Source organism: Homo sapiens, chromosome 9 (genome assembly GCF_000001405.40).
Source record: "Homo sapiens chromosome 9, GRCh38.p14 Primary Assembly".
In the NCBI taxonomy this organism is placed as follows: Eukaryota; Metazoa; Chordata; class Mammalia; order Primates; family Hominidae; genus Homo; species Homo sapiens.
Genome location: NC_000009.12, coordinates 133526086 through 133542256, shown reverse-complemented (window position 1 = coordinate 133542256; position 16171 = coordinate 133526086). Strand labels below are relative to the sequence as shown.

Here is a 16171-nt window from a genome sequence, read left to right as displayed (position 1 = left end):
GCCTGTCCCTTGTCAGTCCGGCACGCCCGTCCCTAGGTCCCATGTCCAAGCCCCACCCTCTCCAGTGCCCTCCCACTGGCACCTCCTGGAGCCAACACTCACGCCACAGTTAGCCCTCAGTGGCAGGCTGAGGTCATTCCCTCGACCTTCAAGACACGGTCGGGTCCTCCGTGGCCCTAACAGGCCTGGTTCTAGTCCAGAGTCAACTGGCCTCATTGGGACCTTGACAGATTATTCCCACTCTGGGCCTTGGTTTCCCCATCTGCTAAGTGGGTCTGAAGCTGTCCTGCCTTCCCAGGTCTGGAGGTTGCAATAACCCAGTTCCATTCCTCAAACATTTCTTCAGAACCAAAAGTGTGTTCAATCTAATGCCAAGCATTACAAGTGACATCCCTCCAAAAGTAGAAAGTGCTGTCCCATGCACAGACGCCCACCCCCGATGAGGGCTGGGACAGAGCTGGACACAAACATCGGGCCAAATGCCTGCAGCTTAGGAAGGGGACAGGTGCTGCCCAAGGGAAGGAGGGGTTCTGGGCTGGGTCAGCCTGGAGCCGACAGGGAGCCTCTGAAACTCAGGCCCCAGAATCCAGCGTGCCAGGGTCAAACCTCATATCCGTGGAGAGAATGGGTCTTGGGCCTTAGTTTCTCCCTTTTTAAAGTGTGGTGTTAGCCAGGTATGGTGGCTCATGCCTATAACCCCAACACTTTGGGAGACGGAGGCGGGTGGATCGCTCGAGGTCAGGAGTTCGAAACCAGCCTGGCCAACATAGTGAAACCCCATCTCCACTAAAAATAGAAAAATTAGCCAGGCTTGGTGGCACATGCCTGTAGTCCCAGCTCCTCGGGAGGCTGAGGAATGAGAATCGCTCGAACCTGGGAGGCAGAGGTTGCAGTGAGCCCAGATCAAGCCACTGCACTCCAGCCTGGGCAACAGAGCAAGACTCTGTCTCAAAAAAAAAAAAAAGGTGCATTGTTAACACCTCCCTGCAGGCTGTCTCAAAGGGCAAATGTGACCCCCAAGCCAAGTGTCCACTGGTACCCAGCAGGTCCTCAACAAAGGGTTGCCCATTCTTGCAAGCCAACGGAGGCCTACAATCACCAGGCCAGCTCACCCGGCCTGGGATGCTGAATCAGGTGCCCCTAGAGGGGAAGAACTTGCCCAGTGGTACACAGGAGGCTGCAGACAGGAGCACACTCAGGACCCCCGATTCCCAGACTCTGCTGTGCTTGGACTCCAGGGCGCGCTGTGGCTTACCAAGGTGGGCATTCCCCTTGCGATAGTTGCCCGTCACGTGGGTGCAGCTGCTACCGTCCCCCTGGCAGATGCCACACTTGTCCAGTGTGTGGGTGGAGAAAAGCACCCCGTCACAGCCGATGGGCTGCAGGAAGGGAGAGGGAGAGGGCTGCTGGGAGGGCGCTGTGGCCAGGCCCCGGGGCCGCCACTGCCTCCCACAGGCGGGCGGGCAGTCAGCACAGTGAGACCGGCGGTACTTTTGCTACAACGTTTAACAACCTCACATTTTCCAGACACGCAAACCCCTCGCAGGTCAGTGAGCTTGCAGGATGTGCCGTCGCGGGCGGGGACCATGAGCTGCCGCTGGCCGTCCACGGTGGTACAGTGCAGGTCACACGGTTTGCTGGAGATGTGGACATAGTCATCTGGTGGAGGGAGACAAAGACAGAAGGTTTCAGCGGGGCAGGAAATGCCGGATTCAGAGGACTTCCCTTTTCCTCCCTCTGAGACAGCTCCCATTGCATAGATGGGGCAACTCAGGCCTGGAGAACAGAAGGAACCTGTCCAGGTCTCAGTGGCAGAAACTGATGGGTCTTCTGGCTCAGCCCACACCCCGTGAGTTCCAGCTTCTACCTCCTCGTGAGTGGGGAGCAGCGCCTGAGACCCATACTGGGGTTCCCCCTCTGCAGGAGGTCTGAGCCAACTCGACACCCCTGTGCTGCTGGCCCTGGGCACCCCAGCCCTGGCCCTTGCGGGTGAGCAGGAGAAGGATGAAGCATTTACACTGTTGCCTGAGCTACTTGCTTTCCATGGGACCGTGTGGGCAGTCTCCGTTTGGGATCGTCTAGGCTGGTTCCTGTCTGTGCCCAGGAGCCAGTAAGTAAGTGAGCAAGTCACCACTGCCGTCAGAGGTCAGGTCTGCAGGGAACTCAGTCCCGTAATCTGTCCTGCGTTGATGTCATGGGTCATGGGGGAGGGGACAGACCCCTGGGCCAGGGCTCAGGAGACCCAGGTTCATTCCTGGCTCTTCGTCTGACCACCTCCATTTCCCCACCTGCCCACCCGTCGAGTTTGGTCCCAGGTGCCGGAAGGGCTACCCCCAAAGCTCAGTCAGCTCCCTGCAAGGTGGGTCCCCAGGGCGGCAGGTACCCGGGTACAGAGGCTTCCACTGGTGCGTCCGCCCGTTGTACACGTGGGAGTTGAAGGAGACGCACTGCTCCTCGCGGAAGCTCCTCCCGTCCGGCGGACACTCCTGGGAAGCGAAGGGACAGGGAGGCTCCGGGAGGAACTCGGCCCGACAAAGGCATTTTTGTCCAGGCTAAGCAGGAAGTGGCTGCAGCCGGGACAGCCGGGACAGCCGGGACAGCCGTGCGGGGGCCACGGCCCACGGGGTGGCCTCTAGGGCTCCTGCGCGCTCCCATGCGCTCTCAGGAGGGAGCAAGGACGCAGGAAAGGGCAGCTCCGCCCCCCACGCCAGCCCTCCGCCTACTCTAGACACAACCCTCCCAGTCCCCACCACGCCTTCTCCCAGCCTTGCGGTGGAGGGGACATGACCCTAGGATGGCTGGCAAGGGTGCTCCCCTCGCCCGTGTCCTCAGCAGGCCCTGACTGTGTGTCTACAGTGACGGGACAGGGCCTGGCACACGGTCCGTGGCCATGCACACTGCGTAAATCAGGAAGATCGTGGTCCTGACTCCATAAAGAGGAACCCAGCGTGCAGACAAGAGACTCATCCTCGGAGGGGACCCAGCTTAGTCGTGCCGGGGCCAGAGCTCAAACCTGGGTCCCTCTCATGCTGGAGCTCATAAATGCCCCTCCCCCAACCCTGGCTGCACTGCCCTAGGAGGGCAGCTGACCAGGTGACGCCAACACAGAAGCGGTGGCCACCTGCCTCCCTCCAGCCCCTCACTCCCTGCACGTGCGCACACACCCCCTGAGACACACAGACACAGAGACCCCCAGCTGCTCTGCCTTCCCTGCCCAGGCAAGCCACACGAGCCAGCCTGGGAGGCCCAGATCCCAGCTCGGCGTGCCCCAGCCTCACGCCCTGCAGTCCTTGGAAAGGTGTTCAGGTTCCAACTGCCCAGGGCCCCACTGAGAGCTGCCTGGTCAGAGTCAGAACCTCCTCTTCAGCCTCGGCTACCCAAGGAAGCTGATGGGGGCTGGAGCAGAAGGGCTCCGAGAGCAACCCAGGGAACTGTTTTATGGCGTGGGGGGTACTGTTTCATGGGACGGGGAAGCCTGGCAACTGCTGGGTCTCTGTGAGCACCAGGTGCACGAATGTTGTGAGTAAAGTGGAGCTGCGACCAGAGACCCCAAACCTTGAGGCTGCACTTGAAGTTCCAGGAGCAGAGTGAGTCCGCCCGTCCCAGCATTGCTGAGCACATGTGAGCACAGGGACAGTGGTCTGGACAGTGGATGGCTCCGTACTAGCCCAGGGCCCCCCGCAGCCTTCTCAACCCTGCTCCTGGGCTCTCCTTGAAGAGCAGCCCACAACAGAATGCCCAGAATGCCCAGGAGCCACCTGGAAGACCCCCTGAAAACTGCATGATGACAGGGAGAGCAGGCCATGGTGCCCCTGCCCGGGCCGGGCCTCACCTGCACTCTGCAGAGCTGGTACCGCTTGGACGTGCCCGTGCAGGTCCTGTTCCCGGGGCCCGGGACGGACTTCCTCCTGGCAGAAAGATGCAGGCTCGGAGTGAGGGCTGCAGAGGAGTTTCAGGAATGTCGCCTGGGCTGGCCCCACGGCCACTGGGATCCAGAATCTCCCGATACCCGTGACCCAGAGGGCTCCTTCCTCCCTACTCAACTCCCACCCCGTACACACACCAGAGCCAAGGGGGAATGAGATTTGATTCACTTCTACATCAGCAGCACATAGCACAGGGGCTCAGTACACAGAATTGAAACAACCACATGGGTTGTGTGCCAGGCCTGTGCCCAGGTGCACACACATGTGTGTTCTCAGAAGCATGAGGTGAGACCAGCACGCTCTCCATGCCATGGATGAGAAAACTGATGCTCAGAGAGGTTAAGTGACTTGCCCAAGGTCATACAGTGAGGGAGTAGCACAGGCTAGATAGGAGCCAGGTCCATCTGGCAGCGGAGGCTTTCCTGCCAGTCCTCTGCTTCTCCCGGGGCTCCCTGGCATATTCTAAAGACCCTCACTCAGGTCTTCAGAAGAGAAGTCAGGGTGGTTCTCCGCCTCCAGGACAGACCTCTAGAAATGGCTCCTGCCCTCTCGTGAAAGGGCTTTCCTGGTGCCCTGAAGCATGAAGGACCCCAGAGCACCAGTGCTGGGGCCCATCCATAGCCGCGTCCAGCAGAGGCTGATGGGGGGACTCAGCCTGTGCTGCCCCCAACCCGAGAGCCCTCCCAGGGGGAGAAGCCACCAGGCTGAAGAGCCAACCGCCCTCTCCTGCCCGCTACCCTGCCCTCATGCCATCCCCTCAGGGCCACGTGCCCAACCTCGCACCTCTGCTGCAGGCAGTGCCGCTCCTGGGATGTCACCCCACCCCCGCAACTGCGGGAACACGCCGTCCACTTGGTCCACTCCCCCCACCAGAAGGCCGTGGCGTCGGTGCCCCCCTCCAGGCTATTGGATGTTGGGCTGTTGTCCTGGGTGAGAGGGACCCCCAGATGGTAGAGGGCTCAAGTGCCCAGGAGGACCAGCCTGCCCCCACCCCATGCCCGAGGGTATCACCGTCAGCGGGACCAGAAGACACAGCCCCCTGGCTGGGCCCCCTTGCAGGGTCACTCGGCAGCTTGGGTTCAGATCTCCTGGGTGGCGCTGGGGGGAACTCCCAAGGAACCGTGGGCCACGGGTCCTCCTTGACCTTAAGGTCCAGGATGGCCTGGGGGCTTGGCAAGCTCCTGGGGCCGCATCTAACTGTCCTCACTTTCCCCGGAGCAGCTCAGGGCCCAACTGCGTTCTGCAGGACACAGCCTACCCTGGCCGTGCTGGGGCCTTCACTTGGAAGGGAAGCACTCAGCCCCCTCAGCCCTCGCCTGCCAAGTCGCCAGGGGCTCCACAGTAGCCAGGGCCCCAGTTCAGAGGCTGATCTGACTGGCTCTGGGCAGAAGTTTCTAGGAGCCAAGATGGGTTCTGGGACCTGGGGCACGTGCCCACACGGCTCCCTCCAAGCCAGTCCATCTGAGAGTGATCACAGCACCTGGGTAGGGGACTGGCATGGGCCCTCAGACCACAACACCCCACTCACCGTGGACCCGGTTGACACTGTGTCCCCAGCTACAACTGCCAGAACCAGCAGGAACCAGGCCCAGCAGGAACATTGCCATCTGCCATCCATCCTAGGAAGCAAGGCCACTGTCACCACCAGGCCAGCTCCGATCCTCTTCCAGATGACCAGGGTACGCTTTGGGAAGAGCCCTCGGGGCCCAGCCAGTGCCCAGGCCTCAAGGTTATCTGGGACTAGTTGGTCGTGGTTGTCTGGCAGACCCTGTTGGGAAGGATGAACCCCCCGCCTCAGTCTAGGCTTAGCAAGAAGGAGCTTGGTGAATGATTAGTAATGCCTGCTTCAGGCAAGACACCCAGCGGCGGTGTGCGTGCTAAGCCTGTGCCACCCTTGATCCAAGGGCATGCAGGGAAGCATGCCATGCTTTGCCTCCAAGTCCTCAAGCCCCCTAGAGAAGGGCTGTGGAGACAGCCAGCCTCGGCTGAGGGGGCTGGGGACCCAGGCGGGGGGAAAGGCTCTGGTTCGAAGGGATGGGCCTGGGCTCAGTCCAGCGCCTTGGCAGGAGCACCTTGGGATTTTAACTGGCTCAGCTCTTGCTGGCCTCGCAGGAGAATGGCCTCTGCCACTGGCTGCTAGGGTCAGTGCATGGGGATGGGCTTGGCCAGGTCCCGGGGGAATGTGCAGCCTCGCCCTAGACCAGCAGCTCCACAGTCAGCATCCAGCAACAGCCGGCACTCAGGTGAGGCAGAACCCAGGTACCTATGCCGCCTCCCGATCCCCGGAGAGAAGATGGAATTGGGGGAGGGGCAGGGCAGGAGGAGGTGCAGTTTGTGCCAGCATGTCAGCAGTCCAGGGCCACAAGGCTGACTTCCTCCCAACAGCCAGCACCCTTGGCTCAAAACACCTGCCAGGGGTCAAAGCAAGCCCATTGGAAGGGACTGTCCAGCCTCCAGGCCCTCAGCTCTCCCCACCCCCTCCTCAGCGTCGACCCTGCCCTGTGGAAGGGAAGACCAGAGATCCACCATGACCTCTGTCCAGGCCTTGCTCAGGTGCTGAGGGTCACTTGCCAGCGAGTTAGAGAAGGGATTTCAGAAACCACGCAGCCTGCACTCATAACCTGGAGCCCAGAGAGGGGAGCCAACCTGCTCAAAGCCACACAGCAAGGTAGCACACTAGCAAACTCAGGGACTCGACCCCCACGCCTGGCCAATTCCAGGGGAAGAAGGCATGGAGGTCACCCCTCACCCCTGCCAGGCCAGAGGCCAACTCGGGCTCTGCCCCTCCCTCCTCAGCAGCCTCCATCCAACTTGAAGAGTTTCCTTGCAGGCCCGGCACCTGCAGATTTTCAGGGGCCACTCCAAGGACACCACTGCAGCCCGGACGACGCAGCAGTGCACCCTGGAGTGGGGAGCCTGAGTCTGACCTCCCCTGCCCCCGCCGCCTGCCCCCCACCTCCCTCCCCTGCAGACCTCCATCTGCACTCTCAGCCTCACACCCACAGGAGCCCCCTCCACTGTGCCATTGGCTAACGGGTGCCCCAGCCTCTGCCTGCCGGCTGAAGACAGGTGCCAGCCGGCCTCACACTTGCTTTTTTCATTAAGGCTTCCAGACACCACTGGCTTCTGGCCAGGCCTCGCTCACGGGGATCCATCCCTCCCTGGGGTCCAAAAGCAGCGGCTGGCGGCAGCAGAGAGGTCTGCCGTGCACACAGAGCTCCGGGCGCACAAGGCTAGGTGCTGGGAGGCCACCCTGCCCCGTGCTCTGCGGCCCGACCCCTCCCCACAAGCCTCCCCACGTTATGTAACGGCTCCAGAGGGCGCGGGGTGCTCCTACCCCCAGCCCCACTCTGAGCAGTGGGCTGGCCTGGTGGACGCTGCAACGTGAGGGGGACGGGGACGAGGTGGCCTACCTGGCTTCGGGTCAGCAGGTTGTCCTCCCAGAGAAAGGGGCGAGCGCTGCGGAGGGCAGACGGCGCCAGGTGCGCTGTGCGTGCGGGGGCGGCGTGAGTGCAGAGGCTGCGGCCCGGCCTCCCTCTCCCCTTCCCCTCCTCCCCCGCGCCGCCTCCCTCTCCCACTTCAAAGAGCATCCAAGAGAGGGGGTTCCCGGGAGGGGCGCAGCCCAGTGGCGGCTCTGCGCCGGCGGCCGCCTTTATAGCTGTCAGGCAGACGGGGAGGAACACTCACACTTCCCACCAGGCCGCTCCCCCGCCCGCGCCGGCCGGCCTGGCGCACACTTTAACCCGCTCTGCGCCTCTGGAGCCCGGCCAGGCCGGCCCAGCTGCCTGTTGGCTGCTGCCGGCGGCGGCGGCCCAGGAGCGGCGAGCAGGGAGGCCTTCTTCCCGGGTCCAGAACTGGGGGCCACATGTCGGGTGTCCAGACGGAGCAGCCGCTGGCCTGAGGTTACCGGGGAGGCTGGCGGTGGCAAAGCCCCAGCCCCGCCTGTCCGGCTTCTGCCTCCAGAGCGGGCCCTGTCCCTGGGGCTCCTGAGAATGGGGTCTGGGATGTATGAGGTGTCCCGTCTGATGGCTCCGTTGTACGGAGGGAAAGGCTGAACTTCCGGGACGACCGTGCCCCAGGTCACGAGCCTCAGAAAGCTCCCGAGATGCAGGGGCCTAAGCAGGTGGAGGGACGCAGGGAGACCCAGCGAGAATGAACCAAGGGCTCCAGGGAGGAGACAGATGTGCCCGTGGCCTGCTGACCAGATGGCTAGAGCAGCCAGGGCCAGGGCAGAGAGGCTCAGGGATTCTGCAGATGTCCAGCACCAACTTGGCAGCCCCTGGCAGGCCAGGCCTGGAGCTCAAGCCTCTGTTCCTGCTGAGTCAGGGCACAGAGGGGAGCGAGAGTGGGTGGAGCAGCAGAGCCCCCCTGGGAAACTCCCGGCGGGCCCCAGACTTTGTGAGGCTTTCCTAAAGCAAGGCTGGGCACCTAGCCTCTGCACACCAGCTTCCCCAGAGCCCATCCTCGGCAAACAGAGGCACCTCCAAAAAGGGGAGGAGGAGGAAGCTGGGGCACCATTCCATCAGGTCATCTGTGTCTTTTCATCCATGCCCCTGCCTCCATGCAGCAGATGTCCTGGGCCCACAGCAGTGCCGGGAAGACACTTCTCCTTCCCTCTGTCCTCCCTGCTGGAAGAAACTTGTGAGTTCCTTCAGCTGCCTTCATGAGAAAGTTCTGCCCTGTGTCTGACCACCCACCAGAAAGGCTGGGAAGGAAAGCCACCAGTAATAGTAGTGAAAGCGATAATACCGTCTGCCCTCTGTCCAGCTTGTCCTACGGGCCCAGAGCTGTGAGGCCAGATCCACCTTTATGATCTGCATTTCACAGGTGGAAGAACTGAGGTTCGGGGACCAAGTCACCTCTCCAGTAGGCAAGGCTGGGATGCCAGCGCTCCTGAGTGTCGGGTTCTCTCCTCTGCCGGGTTGTTTAAGTTTCTCTCCCCGGGACCCTCGGGCAGGCAAGTCTTATTCATCTCATTCTCCTGCTGGGGCAACTGGGATGCAAGGTGGCTGCTCCTAGTCACAGGGCCACCTGCGGTGTGGAACCAGGACTAACCCTAACCCTAACCCAGGCCCACACTGCCCCCTGGGGTCGCTGTGCTGAATCACAGACATGGTGGCACCTGTCACCCAGCACACACACACACACACACACACACACACACACAGGCACACACACACCCAGTCCCTCTCACATGACCGGATTACACTCGCTCTGGGTGCCTCTGCCATCCCCTTCCTCTCTCTTCTGGTGACCGCCAGGCCTCGCACCCCTTGGCACAGTCCCCGAGCTCTCCTGGCGTTTGTGGCCTCACATCCAGCCAGCGCCAGGGTGACTAACGGTTTCCCTTGGGAGGGACCCCACAGCCGACCAACACAAACACCCCCAGTGTCTTCTCTTGGCTCAGCAGGACGGCACAGGCTGCAGGCTGGCCACCTGGGAGACGGGTCTGTGGGGCCAGCCATCCCCTGGCTCTGTGACCTCCTGCAGGTGTGTGACCCTCCAGGCCCCAGCTCCCCTGGCCAGCCACACTTCCACACCACCCCCACCCCTTACCCCAGAGCCTGCAGACTTGAGGCCCACAGGGAGCCATGACTGGCACGTAGCAGGTGCTCTGGTAGCTCCTGATGCCAGGGGCTCCTTACCCCTTAGAGAGTGCTGTTGAGGTGAGTCCCCCACTCTCCAGGATCCCTCTTCGGCCTGCAAATTCCCGGCCTCTCAGGGCCTTCCCCATGTAGGATGGTCTCAGCCCACACCTACCGGCACTTGTAGGGGTGTTGCAGCCGTATGGCCCTGGTGCTGGAGACACCACCTGCCTTTAGAAGGGGATTGTTGGCCAGGCGCAGTGGCTCATGCCTATAATCCCAGCAGTTTGAGAGGCTGAAGCAGGGGGATCACACGAGGTCAGGAGTTTGAGACCAGCATGGCCAACATGGTAAAATCCTGTCTCTACTAAAAATACAAAAATTAGCTGGGCGTGGTGGCGGGCACCTGTAATCCCAGCTACTCGGAAGGCTGAGGCAGGAGAATTGCTTGAACCTGGGAGGTGGAGGTTGCAGTGAGCCGAGATCTCGCCGCTGCCCTCCAGTCTGGGTGAAAGAGTGAGATTCCGTCTCAAAAAGAAAAAAAGAGAGAGAAAAAAAAGAAGGGGATTTTCTCCGCCAGTGTTTTCCAGATATCTGAGGAGCTTAGAAATAGGACAGCAGGAATATGTGTGGGGGATGCCCGGGAGGGTGGGGTTCCAGGGAAAACACGGCGGGGATAGAGAAGCAGGCTTGAGGCAGAGGGGCTGGTGGGCCGTGGCTGACCACTTTGGAGGTTCCCTGGGGAGGATGTTAGGCTGCCGCAGTGGGAGCAGGGCCTGTCCTCACAGCAAAGTGGCCACAGCAGGCTCGGGAGTTTAAGGACGTGGCCCGAGCTGTCGAGGTGGGTCCCCTCTCTGTCACCCAGAGGCCTAGCAGGCCTGGCAAATGTATGTGTGTAGTGTGGTTCACCTAGCCGATAGGGCTGGCCGGCCACAGCCTCAAGAGTGGCCCACCAATACCACCTTCCCTGGCATCCTGCGGTTCTTCTCTGTTGCCAGCCCAGGACCCAGAACATCCTAGGAGCCTCCTGGGCAGACCCAGCCAGAGTTCTCACACCTGACTGGGACGGGGCCACCAAGGGACCATGTGGCCAGCTGGGAGGTGGCTGGCAGCCCCGGAAGAGGACCAGGACTCAGAAGGCAGCCCCAGGGAAAGAGCGAGGGGGCCTCAGCAACCCCAAGAGCCGTCCCTGTCCCCGAGCTTCCTTCCTGGCCCAGGATAGAAGCCAGCTGTCCCTGAGACCCCCCTGGGGCTGGATATACGGGAAGAGCCTCCCCCGCCTTCCCTGGCTGGTCCCAGGTCCATGCACGACCACTGGCTGGCCAGGTCACTTCAGGCCACTTGTCCCTGACAGGCCGAGTTTCCTGGTCTGTTGCACAAGGTCAAGGTCCTTTTTTAGCCCCAGACATCTCACAGGCACACTCAAGAGACAACTGAGACAAAAGCAGAGGTGGGGGCTCCTGCTTCCCCTCTTCTCCCCAGCAGCCCTGAGGCCCCTTCTGGGCACCAGGACTCCTGGAAGCATCATCTGAAAGCTGGCGGACCGGAAGAACCCCAGCCCCCAGCAGCCCCTCGGGCTCTGCTCGCACACGGCCATGACCTCCAGAGATGCCCCGTGTCAGGGATATCTGCTGGGGGCAGGAGGACATCACCAAGCCAGTGAGCTCTTTCTTCCATGCCACCCACAGTGACCAGGGGCGGGCAGCCACTGGTGTCACAGCCAGGTGAAGCAGGAAACCCAGGACCTTGGATCCCGACACTCAGAAGGGCCCCGTCTCAGAGGCTTAGCGTGGAGGCTCAGCATAGGAAGCAGCAGCTCTTCCAATAGCACAGCAACAGCAGCCTCACGCGTGAGTGCCTGGAACCGGACTCTTTGGGTTCAAATCCTGACTCCGTCTCTCTCCAGCTGGGTGACTTTGGGCGAGGGCAGAAGCTTCTCTGTGCCTCAGCTTCCTCACCTGTAAAGTGGCGGTGATAAGGCACTCCCCATGCTGGACTCTTGTGAGGCTGAAATGAGTCCATATGGGAGAAGGGCCTGGGATGGTGGTGGAGAAAGGAAGGGCTGCACGTGCTTTGCTCTGAGCCCAAAGGGTAGCCCGGGGCCAGTGTCTACTCTGCTGTCATCCTCCATCCTGACAATGCCACATCAGGTAACACTGCCACGCCCAGACAGAGAAGGAAGCTGAGGCCAAGGCTTGGACCCCGCCTGAGTCCAAGTGGACTTTCTCAGCCTGGCCAACTTTCTCACATTGTCTCTCGAGTGTGCCTGTGAGATGTCTGGGGCTAGGATGGGGTGCCTGTCATTGGTCCAGGATGGGGTGCACCTGGGTCCCAGGAGAGCCCAGAGCAGCAGGACGTGCTCAGCCTCCCCACCAGGACCAGCAGCGGGACCCTCCCCGATGGCCTCCACTGCTGTTCCTGGAGCCCAGGGCCTTGCGAGCCCTGACTCAGCTTCTCCTTTCCCTGCAAGCCCAGGGATGTGGTGCCCAAGAGGGGCAAGTTTCCACGTAGAGAGGCAAGCTGGGGCAGACAAGAGGCTGGGACCAACAGGGACGCAGGGCCTGCAAAGGGGTCAGGAGCAGCCTTTGGTTCACTGAGAGGTGTGGGTCTGGGCTGGCCTGCTCTCCGTCCTCCCAGCACACACACAGGACTCCGATTCCCCTCTGGGAGTGCTCCCTGCCAACATCAACCCTGCTGTGGCTCAGCCCACGGGTGGAGAATGGACATCCCTGGGTGGTACACCTATGCCCCCGATCAGAGCCTGCCCTGAGGAGGGGACTGCAGCCCCCAGGGGTGACCAGCTGGTGCCGGACCACAGAACTTGGTTTCTCCTCCTCCTCTTCCTCCTTCTTTCTCAGCCAGGAGCACTGGCGTTTTCTGTTAGGCCAACGCTGAAAGCTCGAGCTGGGGGAGCTCATGTCTATGGCTAACAGAGACTGCTTAGGCCACTCCTGGTCTGAGACTCTAGGAGAAAGAGGCTCCTCTGTCTCCAGATCTGGAGCAGGGATAGGGACCTGAGCAGCCCTGGTGTGGCTGTGGCCTGAGGTCAGGCAGAGCCCTGCTGTCTGGGAGACAGCTCTGGGAGGAACCACAGCCAAGATGAAAGGCTTCCCAGCAAGCCTGCAAAAGAGTCTCCTGCCCGCAAGAGCTCCCCGACAGTATCCCCGCCAGCTGCAACCCTGCCACAAGTCTCGTCCCCAAGGGCAGGCTGGGTCCCGGGAGCTGAATTCTCAGGTCCCCAGAAGAAACTGTGGGCTGGGGCTGCTGCTGACCCAGGTGTGGCTGTCCCCTCTCAGTCACACTCAGTGAGTGGCACTTGCCAGGCACCATCCCACAGCCCTGCAAAGGGGAGCAGGTAACAGACGTGTAGCTCAGGCAAGCCCAGGTTCGAGCCCCAACCCCTCTCCCAGCTCCTGGGTCTCTGTAAATGGAAGATGGGTCTCCCCACTTCGGAGGGTGAGGAGTCCCTGGTTCACAGAACAGACATTAGAGAGCCCTTGCCAGAGGCCGGGCTGGCAGCTGAGCTATTCACGTCTGTGCACTCTTCAGCCCCTGCAGCAACCCTGGGAGGTAGCCCCGCCCCAAGCTCCATTCTGCAGACGAGGACACTGAGGCTCCCAGGGCCAAGGGCATGCAGAGGTCCCAGAGCTAGGATGGGCCAAGCCCTCCACCTGGCTCACTTGGCAGGTGTTCAGAAGCTGGGGGTGGTGAGCTGCTCATCTTCAGCCTGCAGCTGAGGATAATATCGGATTGCTCATTGCAGCCCTGGCCGCAGAGGCACACGCGGAGCCATGTCACGCTGCGCAGGGGAGGACCCTGGGTGGCAGTCCAGACAGGCATGGGGACCCCGAGGAGCAGGCAGAAAGCAGCAAAGCCCTGCCCTTCCCAACAGTTGTGGGGGAGCCTCCATGGGCCCCATGGAGAGCCCAGGCACAAGGACTGCTGTGCTCTGGGGTGACCCAGTGCTGTAGGTCAGGTGTTCAAAATGTAGAGGACGCAAACGCAGCAGCCGGCCAGCCCTCCTGGGCCGGGCAGACAGACAGCTGTTGGGAGGCGGGAGCTGCCTGGCATTCCAGGCATTTCAGCGCCTCTATAAAGCAGGGGCGCTCCTGCGGCTGTGGGGGTGAGGGAAGGGGAGTGCAGGGCGGCCCTGCTCCCCAGCGTGGCCCAGGACCAGCCCGCTGGAGCCCACTGGGGCCTGCCATCTGCTGGGCAGAGGAGGGCTGCTGCCGCTCCCTGGGCCTCAGTCTCCTCTTCTGTAAAATGGGGAGAACAGAGGCCTCCACCCCACCTCCCGGCTGCTGGAAGGGCCCAACGAGACAGGTATGAAGAGTCCTTGGTACATGGCCAGCGCTGACCAACCGTCCATCCGTGGACATGATTGGTTTTCAAGACACACTCAGTGCCATGGGGATTCTGAGCAGGGAGAGCCCACACCCCTCTGGGGGGTCAGGAGAAGCTGAGGCTACACAGGGAACCAGGGGAGGGTCTCCTGGCAGAAGGTCATGCAGAGGCCCAGAGTCTGGAGGGCATATGGCTGTGGGGATCTGGTTTGGCTAAAGCCCAGAGCAGGTGGAGAGTAGGGTGGATGCCGGGGACTCCTGAATGGTGGGCTGGCAGGCAGGGGCCATGGGAGGCTTCGGGGTGAGAAGGAACAGGGGTGCCAGCTCACGTCTGTGCTGGCTCAGAGCCTGCCCAGGTTGAGCGGCTCCCGGCCTGGCCCAATCCTGTGCCCCCCACCCTGTGTCTCCTGGGGCAGCGACACCCCCAAGAGCAGCCGGTCTGGCTTTTCCACTCTGCCTCCCCCTCTCCCAGCTCCCCAGGCCAATCGCTTCCCCTGCTCCAGGGAGAACCGAGGGTCATTTCAGTCCTGTTCAGAGCTGGACGCCTTCCCCAAAGCCAGCTGGTCTGCGTCCAGGCGGCCAGGGCTCGGACGGGAGCCACACACATCCCGCTCCCCGCCGGCCCACCTCCGTTCTGCACTCCACTGCCTCCCTCAGAGGGCAGCTCACATTCCAGCCCTTCTGCAGGGGCTCCTCAGGCTGCCCCAGGCCCAGCCACCTGTCTCCCCCCTTTGGGACGTCCCTCCCGGCCCCCATTCTCCTTAATCGCTGCAACACATGTGCAGCTCCGCTCCCTTCTCCACCTCCTCCCCCTTCGCTTTTTCCCTTCCCCAAGCTTACAGCCCTGGCCCTGGAGTTTACAGCTGCAAAAAAACACACACACACACTCATGCACAAAACCAACTGTGGAATGTTTTCCTGCTTTCGAGCGGGGTTTATGGCTCCAGAGAGCTCTCTCCTCCACTGCCTCTCATAGCACCTGACATTGAATTGTATTTCCTCACCACTCTTTTTCGCTCTTACTGAAAGCTGGGCTAGGGGCTGGGGACAGGGGCCCAGTCTGAGCGGGAGCCGAGGGGCCGAGAGGTGAGGATCAAGGAGGATCAGGGCCCCTGCCGTGACAGGCTCACAGGGGATCGTGCGCCTCCCACCAGAGCCGCACACACAGCAGGCCTGGTTTTCCCATTTGGAGAGGGAACTGGGCTCCTCAGAGGCCAGACTGAAGTGTGCGGCAGCCCCGCCTCCTTGGACTTTCATTCATTCTTTTAACAAAGTCATTCATTCAGCCAGTGTGTGCTGAACACCACCATGTGCCAGGCTTGGGCATCGGGGGTGGGGCAGGGAGCCAGCCGGCCAGAGCCCTGGGCCCTGGATCCTGCAGTCCAAGGGGGCCACAGCCCAGACAACCCAACATCAACATCTCAGCCAAGGTGGCGGGTCAGGAACGACGTGGCGTGGAGGGCACTGCGCGGAGCCCCTCAGCTTTCCTTGGGGGCCGGCGGGGGGCGGGTGCTGTTCATCACAGAAGCTTTCCCCACAGACAGGCTGTCTAGGCTGCAGGCAGAGGGAGCGAGGCATTCACCAGAACAGGCGGGGCAGGAAGTGCCTCCCTGCAGGGGAGGTGGGAGGCTGGGAGGAGAGGAGGCAGCGTCTGAGAGTGTGCATGGGGGCTGGGGGAACGGGTCTGGGCCATAGATGGCCTGGTGGTCTCTGTGAGCACTTGGACTTCACCCTTTGGGCTGTGGACGCCTCAGAAGAGTCTTAAGCAGCAGAATGAGACATATCAAGTCAGACGTTTCATTGCAAACAGCAGAAATGGGCTCCAGCCAACTTAAGAGAGATTTCTGGAAAGGTCTGTGGGAGCTCCCACATGGAGGGAAAGGTGGAACAGCCGGGCCTCACAAAGCAGGACTGGCCCAGCAGCCTCTCTTGGAGGGGCCAGTGTTGAGACGGTCCTTGGTCTTGCTGTCCCCAGATTCTAATTTCCAGGAGAACAAAGGTGCAGGAATACTACACTGGACACCACCCAGCAGCAACCGAAGGGACTGTCCATGAGTAGGACAGGGACAAATCGCACAGACATGACATTGTGAGCAAAAGAAGCCAGATCCAAAAAAGTCCACGGTCCATTTGTAGGAGTTCTAGGACAGGCAGTCAGGTACGGGGGCAGAAATCATACCAGTGGCTGCCTCTGCAGGGGGCTCACTGGAAAGGGCTCAAGAGAATATCCTGGGTGGTGAGGATGGACACTGTGCTGGTTACAAAGGTGCGTTTTCAGCAGACTATACAGGTGAAATCTGTGCGTTTTGTCCTATGT

At 61.5% G+C, this 16171-nt stretch overlaps 1 protein-coding gene across 6 annotated transcripts in view, besides 10 other annotated features; it reads right to left on the bottom strand.

Moving 5' to 3' along the window:
* ADAMTSL2 (ADAMTS like 2) overlaps nt 1-10093 on the bottom strand; it is a 43356-nt gene extending 33263 nt beyond the window's left edge. The window contains exons 1-7 of one of the 6 annotated variants that reach the window (NM_001145320.2): nt 9687-10093; nt 5455-5694; nt 4710-4852; nt 3833-3908; nt 2384-2486; nt 1514-1659; nt 1256-1379 (exon numbers count right to left, since the gene is read on the bottom strand). In NM_001145320.2, coding sequence (NP_001138792.1) covers nt 1256-1379; nt 1514-1659; nt 2384-2486; nt 3833-3908; nt 4710-4852; nt 5455-5544 — 682 coding nt within the window. In that variant the 5' untranslated portion in view covers nt 5545-5694; nt 9687-10093. Of the gene's footprint in view, nt 1-1255; nt 1380-1513; nt 1660-2383; nt 2487-3832; nt 3940-4709; nt 4853-5454; nt 5695-7339; nt 7554-9686 lie in introns of those variants that run through there. The other 5 variants (NM_014694.4, XM_005272239.3, XM_011519241.3 and 2 more) reach the window with 5 other exon arrangements.
* Nucleotides 906-1637: an enhancer, noted in NCBI's record as "H3K4me1 hESC enhancer chr9:136405742-136406473 (GRCh37/hg19 assembly coordinates)". NCBI's record gives its function as "activates a minimal SCP1, AML or CMV promoter by ChIP-STARR-seq in primed H9 embryonic stem cells {active_cell/tissue: H9 hESC(primed)}" and the evidence as "EXISTENCE:reporter gene assay evidence [ECO:0000049][PMID:30033119]".
* Nucleotides 1173-1432: an enhancer, noted in NCBI's record as "active region_29247". NCBI's record gives its function as "activates an Ori minimal core promoter by ATAC-STARR-seq in GM12878 lymphoblastoid cells {active_cell/tissue: GM12878}" and the evidence as "EXISTENCE:reporter gene assay evidence [ECO:0000049][PMID:35858748]".
* Nucleotides 2371-3102: an enhancer, noted in NCBI's record as "H3K4me1 hESC enhancer chr9:136404277-136405008 (GRCh37/hg19 assembly coordinates)". NCBI's record gives its function as "activates a minimal SCP1, AML or CMV promoter by ChIP-STARR-seq in naive and primed H9 embryonic stem cells {active_cell/tissue: H9 hESC(naive and primed)}" and the evidence as "EXISTENCE:reporter gene assay evidence [ECO:0000049][PMID:30033119]".
* Nucleotides 4903-5442: an enhancer, noted in NCBI's record as "H3K4me1 hESC enhancer chr9:136401937-136402476 (GRCh37/hg19 assembly coordinates)". NCBI's record gives its function as "activates a minimal SCP1, AML or CMV promoter by ChIP-STARR-seq in naive H9 embryonic stem cells {active_cell/tissue: H9 hESC(naive)}" and the evidence as "EXISTENCE:reporter gene assay evidence [ECO:0000049][PMID:30033119]".
* Nucleotides 5983-6524: an enhancer, noted in NCBI's record as "H3K4me1 hESC enhancer chr9:136400855-136401396 (GRCh37/hg19 assembly coordinates)". NCBI's record gives its function as "activates a minimal SCP1, AML or CMV promoter by ChIP-STARR-seq in naive H9 embryonic stem cells {active_cell/tissue: H9 hESC(naive)}" and the evidence as "EXISTENCE:reporter gene assay evidence [ECO:0000049][PMID:30033119]".
* Nucleotides 7065-7606: an enhancer, noted in NCBI's record as "H3K27ac-H3K4me1 hESC enhancer chr9:136399773-136400314 (GRCh37/hg19 assembly coordinates)". NCBI's record gives its function as "activates a minimal SCP1, AML or CMV promoter by ChIP-STARR-seq in naive H9 embryonic stem cells {active_cell/tissue: H9 hESC(naive)}" and the evidence as "EXISTENCE:reporter gene assay evidence [ECO:0000049][PMID:30033119]".
* Nucleotides 7607-8146: an enhancer, noted in NCBI's record as "H3K27ac-H3K4me1 hESC enhancer chr9:136399233-136399772 (GRCh37/hg19 assembly coordinates)". NCBI's record gives its function as "activates a minimal SCP1, AML or CMV promoter by ChIP-STARR-seq in naive H9 embryonic stem cells {active_cell/tissue: H9 hESC(naive)}" and the evidence as "EXISTENCE:reporter gene assay evidence [ECO:0000049][PMID:30033119]".
* Nucleotides 8147-8688: an enhancer, noted in NCBI's record as "H3K4me1 hESC enhancer chr9:136398691-136399232 (GRCh37/hg19 assembly coordinates)". NCBI's record gives its function as "activates a minimal SCP1, AML or CMV promoter by ChIP-STARR-seq in naive H9 embryonic stem cells {active_cell/tissue: H9 hESC(naive)}" and the evidence as "EXISTENCE:reporter gene assay evidence [ECO:0000049][PMID:30033119]".
* Nucleotides 8947-9036: a silencer, noted in NCBI's record as "silent region_20464". NCBI's record gives its function as "represses an Ori minimal core promoter by ATAC-STARR-seq in GM12878 lymphoblastoid cells {active_cell/tissue: GM12878}" and the evidence as "EXISTENCE:reporter gene assay evidence [ECO:0000049][PMID:35858748]".
* Nucleotides 11783-12288: an enhancer, noted in NCBI's record as "H3K4me1 hESC enhancer chr9:136395091-136395596 (GRCh37/hg19 assembly coordinates)". NCBI's record gives its function as "activates a minimal SCP1, AML or CMV promoter by ChIP-STARR-seq in naive H9 embryonic stem cells {active_cell/tissue: H9 hESC(naive)}" and the evidence as "EXISTENCE:reporter gene assay evidence [ECO:0000049][PMID:30033119]".